The sequence below is a fragment of the Homo sapiens genome, chromosome 1 (assembly GCF_000001405.40).
Source record: "Homo sapiens chromosome 1, GRCh38.p14 Primary Assembly".
Lineage (NCBI taxonomy): Eukaryota > Metazoa > Chordata > Mammalia > Primates > Hominidae > Homo > Homo sapiens.
Genome location: NC_000001.11, coordinates 3,699,605 through 3,710,390, shown reverse-complemented (window position 1 = coordinate 3,710,390; position 10,786 = coordinate 3,699,605). Strand labels below are relative to the sequence as shown.

Here is a 10,786-nt window from a genome sequence, read left to right as displayed (position 1 = left end):
CTTGCCTGCCCCTCCCTGGGCAAGGAAAGAAGCCCTGGTGGAGGGGGTTCTGGCCCCAGAGAGCTGAGGTGCCAAAAATCTCATTATCAATGTTTGTCCCACCCCCTGGATCCACAGGGCTTCGGAGGAGGAGCCCTGGGTGCAGGCGACAGCATTTTCCTCCCCAGTTCGCGCCCCCCCACCCTCCCCCCGCCCCAGCATCCACAGAGCCCAGCAGGGAGGGAGCGAGGAGGTGTCACTGCTCCTCTGCTGGGCACCAGGCACAGCTTTCCCCTCCCGCTGGTGCAGCTGACCAGCCCGGGATGCCTGGTCTGAGCAGACCAGCCCATCCCACAGGGCAAGGCCACCCCGTCCTGCAGGACAAGGCAGTTGAGACAAAACCATGAAGTCCCTTGAACCTGATGCCACACACCTGGCAGGGGGTGGGGGTGGCAGATACCCTAGATGGGGGAAGCCAGCCAGAGAGGGGGTTGCTCCTGTCCTTCCATGAGGATCAGCTCAGACCACATGCAGTGCATTCCAAGCATGGTGAAGACCCCATCAGCATCCTCAGACCATGGGAGGAAGGGAGGCAGAGCTCCCACAAGCTGCCTGCCAGGACTCCAGGGAGACACTCTCCAGAAACCACCAGCATCATAAACCCCAGGGCAGGAGGTCAGTGTCCTTAGAGGGGAGAGAGTGGACTTAGGCAACAAGCCTGAGTGTGGGAGAGAAGCAGTGGTGAGGCTCCTGCTGCTGGAGGTGTGCAGGTGAGGATGCCTTGGGGCTTTCTGACCTGGCTTCAGACCTCCAAGTGGGGTGGAAGGATAGGCCTGGTCCCCCTTGCCCCACAGGCAGGTGCAGCTGCCACGGAACCACTCATTTGGGAGGCCCAGGCCAGCACACCACCACCACAATTAAGACAACGCATGGGCCTCCTGCTGCGAGCTAAGCACCGTGCTGGCCACAGCCCTGGCACGGTCTTCCCATCCTTATCTCCATCGTGCAGTAAGGTGCGTGGAGGAGTAATTTCCAAATGGAGAAAACGGGGTGTTAGCACTGGGGTCGGCATTGCCTGCCAGATGGAGGTGGGAGGCCCCGGAGGAGGTGCCAGGTCCTCTGCCCCTCAGCCCAACAGCCCACAGAGCCCCCTCCCATCAAGCCCAGCGAGTCCGGGCTGAGCCTTCTCTTAGCCCGGAGCCAGCAGCTGGGGGAGCCCGTGGCTGGAGTGAGAATCAGAAACAACCGCAGGTGGGGGCGGGCGGGGCCTGGAACCCAGACCCCAGACCAGCCCGGCAGGACTGTCCGGCTACCTGCAGAGCCTGACAGTCTACCTTAGGCTCCGCCCTGCCCCTCGGCCCTCCAGGAGCGTGGGAAAACCGCAGCTATGGCCAGCAGGGCAGTGGGACCCGATTCTTAAAGCGGAAAAACCTGAGGGGCCCCTTGCTCAGCACTCCCGACAGGGGGTGGGAATGCGGCCGCCCTGCATGGACTTCAGGGGGCCAGCACTGAGCTGTGCCCGGGGAGGCGGGGCCTCGTGGGGGAGGGGACGCTGCCCAGTGGGCCGGACCAACATGTGTCCCATAGAGCCCCTCCTGCAGCCATGGCCTGGGTGCCCAGGCAGGGCTCACTTGCCCCCTCCTCGGTGCAGGAGGGGAGACCCGGAGGGCTCTTGGGGCTGCTTTTCCCGCCCAGCCCCTGCGTGCCCTCCACTCCTGGCTGGGGTCATGCAGCCTTCACCTTGCCCCTCCTGACAGACCCCCTCCCCTGAAGCTGTCTGGGCAGGGCAGCTCAGTGGTTAGGAATACAGATGCAGAGGTGGCTGCCCCCACTTACTATGAGCAGAACTCTGGGCGAACCACTTCCCTCCCCGAGCCTCAGCCTCCTTGGCTGTAAAAGGGGAGCAGTGATGGAGTCAGCCCTGTGCGTTGTTGGTGGGTGCAAGAGTTAGCTCAACTCAAAGCCCTGAGCATGGTGCCTGGCTCGAGGAGACTGGCCTTGTGCACAGGTGATGTTATCAGAATTAGCAAGATCCCCACCGTGGGCCAGTCTGTCTCCAGGGGCACCGCAGTGAGGACCTGAGCCCTTGGCACGGTGGTTCCACCCCATCTCCTTGGTGCATGCCAATTCCTGGAAATGACACTCCAGAGACAGTGCCAGCAAAGCCCAAATCCACCCACCCGCAGATGCGTCTCGCTGCCTGGAGGAGGCAGGTTCTGCAGACCCTAGGGCTGTGGGCCTGTCTCGGACAGACAACTCTTGGCAGCAGAGCCCGTGCCTCTGTCCAGGACAGGATTTCAAACCAAAGATCCCACCTGAGCATGGGGAAGCCGCTGGCCAGTCTTGGCAGAGATCTCACCAGCAGGGCCAAGTCCGTCCCCTCTGTGGCCCTTTGGAGGCTGACTGGCTCTGGCCACTCACGTCTAGAGGGGTGGGCACACCCAGACTGCCCGGCCCTGAGACCCGCCTCCTGCCCGATGCTCCTCCTGGCCCGGGCCAGGTGGGAACCCCGAGCAGACAGTGGGGCGAGCTCAGACCTCTTGAGGTGCGGGGAACGCAGCCACCTCCTCTCCAGCCCGCAGCCCGCAGCCCGCAGCCCTCAGGGACTAGGGGAACTCACCGTCCAGGTGGCTGACTTGGCCGTGCTGGACTGCTGGAAAGTGACCTCAAAGTGGTGGGGTCCGGGGTAGTCGGTGTTGGAGGGGATGACAGGCGCCGGCGACATGGTGTCGAAGGTGGAGCTGGGTTGTGCGTAGGGCGAGTGGGTGGGCACGCTGGCGGCGTGCTCTGGGGTGTAGGGGCTGGCCGAGGCCGCGCGGCTGCTCATCTGGTCCATGGTGCTGCTCAGCAGATTGAACTGGGCCTGGCGCGGGAAAGGGGAGGAGGGAGGGGGAAACACACACAGTCAGTCGTCCTGTCCCGTCTAGGAGGTGTCCTGTTACAGGAGCCTTAAAGGGCCAGCGGCTCCAGTCATCCCAAATATTTCCCCGGGTCTCTCCCCCATCCCAACAGGCCACTACTTGCATTGGGATAAACTGACATATTCACCTCGCCCTCCCCTCCATCAGCCTCCCGGTGCCAGGGTTTCTGGGGATCCACCCAGCCGTTGATGAGGCGGAATAGACTCTCTGCACACCTGGAGGGGAGGCGTCGGGTGGGGGAGGCTCCCAGGCCCTGATGCCCACACGGGCTTCACTGTACCCTCCGGGCGGCATCGGGGTCTGGACCTCACAGCTCAAAGTGGGGAGATCCAGCCCCAGGGAGCCAGGCAGTGGGGGAGGTGGGCTGGGCACAAGTGGGCCCTGAGTGCAGGGTGCGCACACCTGGGCTTGGGTGCGTGGGTGCCCCTGAGGTGCTGGAGACCAGATCCGGGCTCTCACTAGGTCTGGCCCTCTAGGTGGTGGGATAAGGTGGAACTGCTGTTCAATGGCTGAGCCCAATTTTCCCAGTTGGGCGGCCTCATCTCTCGGTGAACGGCCTCACCCCGACTGGAAAGGCCGCTCCACGCTCAGGGGCCGGCAAAGCCTCACCCCTGCTGCCCCCTGGCCCGGGGTTCTCTCGTTAGGCCCCTACCCGCAGCTCCCCCGCCAGGACCACACACCAAGGAACAGGAACCCCTGTGGGTGTGTCCCCTGCGCCACCGTCTGTGGCGCCCCGGGACCCCAGCATGGATCAGCCTCTGCCAGGAGCTTAAGGGAGGCCCCAGCTGAGGGAGGGGGTGCTGGTCTGGCCTCGATGTCTCAGATCCAGGGCAGGGCAGACCTCACTTGGTGGGCTGCTGAGGAAGACCCTCCTTCCAAATCCAGAGGCGGGTGCTGGAGGAAGACTGCACATGTATAAACAGCGCTTTCCCTGTGACCCCCGAGGCTCAACGCAAACAAATGCCTTTACCCCCCTCTCCCCGGGCCTGCGGCGGGCACCGTGATTGTCCCTATTACCCCTCTCCCCGGGCCTGCGGCGGGCACCGTGATTGTCCCTATTACCCCCCTCCCCGGGCCTGCGGCGGGCACCGTGATTGTCCCTATTACCCCCCTCCCCGGGCCTGCGGCGGGCACCGTGATTGTCCCTATTACCCCTCTCCCCAGGCCTGCGGTGGGCACCATGATTGTCCCCATTTTACAGATGAGGAAACTGAGCTATGGGGCTGGGGAAACGATTGACCCCAGTGATCTAGCGGCCCCAGCAGACGGCACAAAGGTCACCAGCAGTCAGCAAGGTGCAGGCTGAGACCCCCAGACCGTGAACTGGGATTGCAGGGCAGGAAGGGGCAGAGCCAGGCGGAGGCGGGCCGGGGGCGGGGGGCGGTCATTCTGCCCTGTGTCCCTCTTTAGAGAAGCTGTGGTGTGCTGTGAGCACACTCTTCCCTCCCACCAGCCTGCCCCCTCCAATCCAAAAAACAAAACGTGCACTGCCCGCACAGGAGGGTGCAGGGGCCTCGCCGGGACTCCCAGGCTCAGCCCCTTCCTGCACCTCAGCCTTCTCCATCAGAGGTGGTTGGGTTTAGTGACCCAGAGGCCCTCGGCTCTGCAGGTCCTAGGACACACATCCACTGAGGTCCCTGACGAGGGCCGCATCCCCCGGCCCCTCCAGCATCCAATGGAGAAGGACGCCAGGCAAGTCCAGAGTTTGCGTCCTCTCTGAGTCCTCTACTGAGTCCTCCACTGAGTGCAGTCCAACGTGGAGGCAGCTCAGCCCGGGATGCCGGAGGGGCAGGAGGCAGGGGACTGCTGCTCACCAGAGCCATCACCACTGTTCCCAGGGCCACCAAAGGCCAGGCAGGCCCTCTCCCTGTGTGCTCCAGCCCAGGACAGCCAACAGCCCCAGCAGGCCTGAGCCGTCAGGGGCGACCCGTGCCCTGGCTCCACTGCAAGGGTCTTGGCACGAGGCCTCGGCTGAAGCTGCCATCATCTGGCACCATTAAGCTGGCTGTGAGCTGTCAACCTGGGGAGCCCACCCACCAGTGGAACGGGGACCCCCTGCAGCACGGGCCCTGCCCACCTCTCCGGCACCACTGCAGCCTCCTTCCTGGTCTGTCGCGCTCCCCACAACCTCCCTAACTTCCTGCACCACAGGTCCTTCCCAGGAGCCCAGGGTTCACTGAATGGCAAATGGATAAAGAAACAGTGTGTCTGTACAGTGGCCTCTTCCTCGGCCATAAGACAGAAGGAAGCTCCCACACGCTGCCACGTGGATAAGCCATGGTGCCAGCTTAAAAACATCACGGGGGGACGCCCGTAATCCCAGCATTCTGGGGGGCAGAGGCGGGAGGATCTCTTGAGCCCAGGAATCTGAGACGGCAGAGAGCCAAGATCACGCCACTGCCCTCCAGCCTGGGAGACAGGGCAAGACTTTGTCTCAAAAAACGAAACAAAATATAACATCCCAGGGAAGGGTGACCCTCGCCTCTCCTGGCTCCTGGGCTATTGTGAGGGGGTCTGGGGAAGCAGCCACTGCCCCCCTCAGAGAAAGATGTAGAAAGGCTACTCCTGCTCCTCCTGGTGTCTGGTTGGGTGTCACCCTGGGCACCGGCGAGCTGCCAGTAGGCTTCTGGCACAGAGGATGGACCCCTGCCTCAGCTACACACATGGGAGGTTGGGTGATGGTGGGGGTGACAAGGGGCAGTGCCAGGCTCTGGTCGCACAGCCCAGGCCCCGCCCCAGAGTCCCCGGCTCCCAGACTCCTCACCGAGGCCCAAGAGGCCTCTGAGGTGTCTGAGACCTGCTTACGACCACGGGCCCAGGCCCTTCCTGGAAGCCTGCACTTGTGGTCTGCACACGACCCTTCACCAGCCCTGTCCGGGCTCAGAGGTCACTGTTCCGAGGGGTCAGCCCTGGCCACACGGGCAGGAGCAGCGCCCAGGCCTCAGGTGTTCTCTTTCGTCACCCGGTTTGAGCATCTTTCTAGCCATTCTCCGGAAGGGCAGGCTCGCATGTCCCCCATGGCTTCTGTCTCCCCTACTCGACTGTGAACCCACGAGGACCCTGGATACGGTGGCCACTGGCCACACAGGGTGGGGGTGTGTGAAATGTGGATGGACCTGAGCCCAGTGTGTGAGCGCACCCCGATTCCAAGGGCTCAGGACCACGGAAAGAACGGAAAACACCTCGCTCACCATTTCCTACTGATTACAGGCTGAAACGATCACAGTTACGGGTGAATACAGGAAATAATTAAATGACTTCCGCCAGCTCCTTTCCACCTTTTTGAATGCGGCTACTAGAAAAAGCAGAATTACACACACGGCTCGGAGCCGACACCCTCAGTCCGTGCTCCTATTACAGCGTGGCTGCTTGAAAGGCTCGCTGAACAAGCGAGCTGGCAGAACAAACGAACAAGCGAATGCAGGACGGCTCCCCCAGTCCAGCTGCCCAGGAGTGAGTGTGGGACATGAGCCGGCCCCTCCCATCACCGGGTACCGGGTGCCAGCCTGCCCACCCTCCCCTCTCCGTGGTGCCCTCTCTCTTCCAGGTGACCAGCGGTGGCCTTCCTGGAAAGGTCTTCCCTGTTTTGGGCCCGGGGATGGCCTCAGGGATGCACGACTTCCCCATTCCTGACTCATTTGAGTCCCCCGGGCAAGAACATCCCGGGGCTCAAGGGCTGCCCAGCTGAGGCTTCTCAGGTCAGGATGACAGGCAAGGGCAGGCTCCAGGGTCCCCCTGCCCGACTCCCATCCCTGCTCCATCCCTGAGAACAGGACAGCCAGTGGGGCAAAAAGCCCATGCCTCCCTTGTTTGGGAGAAGCAGGATGCAGACCCACGACAACGTGTTTCATATTTTAACTTGTCCACATTCTTGTATGATCTGAGGAAGGTGCCAAGGAATTAGTCATTGAGGCAAGAGGAGAAGAGCTGATAGGATCTCTGCGCCTAGCACAGCCCAGCGGGAGTGAGCCAGGCCCTTGCGGCAGGCGGCCCCACGCGGGAATCCTAATTAGTGGACAAGTGTCCGGACAGCAGGCCTGAAGCCCTCTCGGTGCCGTCCTCTGTGGCCCAGGGCCCCAGGCAGGCTCCCTTAGCAGGGCCTTCCTCAGGCAGGGCCCCGATGTCGGCCTCTCCCTCTGGTCCCCTCTCATCCTCAGGCTCAGTGACACGGGGTGGGGGCCTCTGAAGCCCCCTCCTCCCCAGGGTTACTGGGCCTGTCCTCTGCCCAGGGGACGCTGTCCTCTCCTCCTGCTTCCAGGGGACCTCTCTCCCTGCACGCTGGCCCTGCCTGTGGTCACCGCCCCTGTCACACCCCCAGTGGGTGGCAGAGGCTTTGCAGCTGCAGTTATGAATGCAGCTGGGAACGCAGCATCTGGGAAGTGTAGGGGGCTTTCTGGGTCTCTGACCTCCCCCTTAGGCCTCCCCAGGCATCCTCCACAAGCCCCTCCACCTGGCTCGGGGGACTCTGGTCTTCCCTTTCGCTTCCTGCCTGGCGGCAAGGAGCTTTCCCTGGGGCCTGGCTCCTGCTCGGGGTCAAGCTGCTGAAACAGGGAACCCTGAACCTAACACAGGCCTGCACAGGAGCCCGGGGTCTCCCACAACCAGAGGGCCCCCGGAAGCCACGGGGAGGAACCCGGGCACAACCAGGACTTTTTTGGTTTGTTTTGCTTTCAACAAGAGCTCCCAAGATAGTGGGCTAATTAGGACACGCCCGGCCCGCGGCGGCCACAAGTGCCTACATGTGTGTGCAGGGCTCCTGGGCCTGACCCAAGGAGTGCGCGGGAGCCAGAGAGCCAGCGGGTGGCCTTCCCGCCAGCCTCCAGGCCGCGGACGCACCAGGCCCTGCTGGGGCCCCAGGGCCTTGTTGCGGGGCAGGAGTGCTCTGCCAGGGGAAATACTGCAGCCCCCACGCACCCACCCAGGAGGCCTCATCTCTCCTCCCTGCGGATGGGTTGGGGACCTCCCTGGGTGCACCTGTGCTGGAGATTAGCTCTGGGCTGGGGGCTGGGGGCTGGGGGCTGGGGTGTGGGCAGCAGGCAGTGGTAAATGGGGCTGCTCTCTCGCCTGGGCCAGTCACAGGTATCAACACAGTTCCCAGACCTCACTGGTTTGATCCACCCATGCCCCTGGGGTGGCAGCAGGCCAGTGACCTTGCTCCAAAATGAGGGGTCAGAGACTGAGAGGCCACCCAGTAGCTGGGCCCCCTCCAGGAGGGCTGTGGAGGGTCCCGCCTGCCCCCTGGCCTGCCTGTCTGAGAGCAGAGAGGAGCAGTGTGGGGGAGGCCAGAGCTCAGCCCAGCCCTGAAGCCCCATCCCACTGGCTGGACACCCCAATCCAAGCACCAGCATCTACCGTCGGCCAAGCTGGGGACGGTGATGGCTGAGGTCTGGGGGTTCCCACAAGGTGGGCAGGAAGTGGTGGCCAGGGCTGCCCATCCCAGAACAGCAGGTTCTTCTGGGTCTACTGATGCCCCTACGCCACCATCCTGGAAACCAGGCCTCTCTGCCCATCCAGGAGAGGGGCAGGAGAGACCTCCCAGGGACCTGGGGGGCCAAGCAGGGCTCTGAGGTCAGGAGTCCTGGGGCCAAGTCTCAGCTCCACCTGTGTAACCTGGCCCATCGCTCCACCTCCCTAGGTCTTCGTTTTCTCATCTGCAGAGTGGGGATGAAATCAACATGTACTGGCCAGGCGTGGTGGCTCATGCCTGTCATCCCAGCAATTTGGGAGGACGAGGCAGGCGGATCACCTGAGGTCCGGAGTTCAAGACTGGCCTAGCCAATATGGTGAAACCCCGTCTCTACTAAAACTACAAAAAAAAATTAGCTGGGCGTGGTGGTGGGCACCTGTAATCCCAGCTACTTGGGAGGATGAGCAAGGAGAATTGCTTGAACCCGGGAGGCAGAGGTTGCAGTGAGCTGAGATCACGCCACAGCACTCCAGCCTGGGTGACAGAGCAAGACTCTGTCTCGAAAAAAACCAAAAAAGAAATCAACGTGGACTTCGTAGGATGGTTGTGGGGATCAAGAGGGTCCAGAAGTATGGTAACCTGAGACTTCATCGGAAGTGACTCTCGCCCGGGAGCCCTCCTGGAACCAATGTCCAGGAAGCTCCCATGCACGAGGCATGACCTCCACGCCTTGGCACAAAAACCCAGCCAGGAGGAACGACGGCTGGGCAGGCTCCGCCGAGGAACAGGGACGGGAATCCAGATTCACTACGCAGAGGACAGTCGCTAAGCCCTGGGCACAGGGACGGATGGGGAAGAGCAGGTGCTCTCGGGGGCAGGTGCTCACAGGGGTCGGGGTCTCTCCTGTTCCCCGAGGTGTCCAGATAGCCAGTACCGACAGGACGCTCAGAAACTCTTGGTTGGATGAAACAGACCCTGAAATCCACGCGGGCCATCCAACTGGGGGAAGTGGCCACGGTGTGCCACTGCCCGCCATGTCGGCCACAGCCCCAAGCCCAGACAGTGCCCAGGGTCCAGGCTGCCTTCCTCAGAATGTGGAGGGCGGGGACAGCCCCTTGAAAGACTCTTTGTCCTCACCGGCCAGGAGCTGGAGGGGAGCTGGGCCCCATCATCACCCTCCCGCCGCATGGGTTCTGTTCTATTTCAGATTAAGTTGGATTTTGTGGTTTTGTTAAAAGATTCCCATTGCACCTGTTGACTGTTTAAAATGTGTAAACCGTCTCAAGTGACTTTTTTTTTTTTTGAGACGAAGTCTCACTGTGTCGCCCAGGCTGGAGTGCAGTGGTGGGATCTCGGCTCACTGCAACTTCCACCTCCTGGGTTCAAGCGATTATCTTGCCTCAGCCTCCCCAGTAGCTGGGATTACAGACGCTAATTTTTGTATTTTTAGTAGAGACGGGGGTTTCACCATGTTGGCCAGGCTGGTCTCGAACTCCTGACCTCAGGTGATCTGCCCACCTCAGCCTCCCAAAGTGCTGGGATTACAGGCGTGGGGCATTTGAGTGATTTTTTTTACAAGTAGATGGGAAATAAATCTTTTTCAAGTTTGTGTCCCTGTTCCCCCCTAGTCCACTCCTCTCGCTTCCCGGTATCCACAGTGCCTTTTATCAGAGCCTAGGATATTTAAGACACAATGCAAAGCAAGGCATGGGAGGTCACGACCGTGCCATCGGATGACAGGGGACAGATGTGGTACTGTCCAGAACGGAACGTATTTTTTAGTGGAAATGACAACAGAGAAACCTGCCAGCAAAATTCACAATGACTCTGGCCACATCTCCAAAGGCCACGGTTTTGGCTGACTCCTCCAGCGGAGGAGATGTGAGGCGGGGAAGGCACATGCAGCCTGGTCCCTGCATTGGGCCTGGCAGGGGTGGTGGGGAGGGCGGGGCACAAATGCTCATTCGGAAACCTTTGTCTCCACAAGTGCAGAGGCTCGAAAGACGGAGCTCCTGCCCCGTAGACAGCAATAACAGCTTCCCGAGGGACCCCATCCTTGGGAGCTGAGGCCAGGACAGCTCCCAAGGATGGGGCCGCTTCCTGGGGCCCTGGGCTTGGCGGAGATCAGGAGACTGGGGCCCGAGCCCACGGTCTGGCCATGCAGTCCCCCTTCTCTTGGAAACAGAGATTCCTCTGATCCTAATCACTTAGGATCCGAGTCAGAGAGGGAGGCACGTGAAAAAGCGTAGTAGGGATGTCAGCTGAAATCCTGACGCCCCGCTGGCCCCTCCCCAGCTCCACCTCCGCCTCCCTCGCTCCTGTCACCTCTCCAGCTCCTGCCCCCGCCCGAGCATCCCTGCTCCCCGCCCGGCATTTATCCCGCACTCTCATTCATTCTGTTCAACTAGGACAGGAACCGGGAGCTCCAGACGGGGCAGAGACATGCTCTTCTTCATCCACCACTGGCAGCCATGGCATG

At 61.8% G+C, this 10,786-nt stretch overlaps 1 protein-coding gene across 15 annotated transcripts in view, besides 2 other annotated features; it reads right to left on the bottom strand.

Moving 5' to 3' along the window:
- Positions 1-10,786, bottom strand: part of TP73 (tumor protein p73) — an 83,686-nt gene that overhangs the window by 25,811 nt on the left and 47,089 nt on the right. For all 15 annotated transcript variants that reach the window (NM_005427.4, NM_001204184.2, NM_001204185.2 and 12 more), the window contains one exon: positions 2,600-2,842. In NM_005427.4, the coding sequence (NP_005418.1) occupies positions 2,600-2,842 (243 nt within the window). The remainder of the gene's footprint in view (positions 1-2,599; positions 2,843-10,786) is intronic.
- Positions 1,400-2,228: an enhancer, noted in NCBI's record as "H3K27ac-H3K4me1 hESC enhancer chr1:3624727-3625555 (GRCh37/hg19 assembly coordinates)". NCBI's record gives its function as "activates a minimal SCP1, AML or CMV promoter by ChIP-STARR-seq in naive H9 embryonic stem cells {active_cell/tissue: H9 hESC(naive)}" and the evidence as "EXISTENCE:reporter gene assay evidence [ECO:0000049][PMID:30033119]".
- Positions 2,229-3,056: an enhancer, noted in NCBI's record as "H3K27ac-H3K4me1 hESC enhancer chr1:3623899-3624726 (GRCh37/hg19 assembly coordinates)". NCBI's record gives its function as "activates a minimal SCP1, AML or CMV promoter by ChIP-STARR-seq in naive H9 embryonic stem cells {active_cell/tissue: H9 hESC(naive)}" and the evidence as "EXISTENCE:reporter gene assay evidence [ECO:0000049][PMID:30033119]".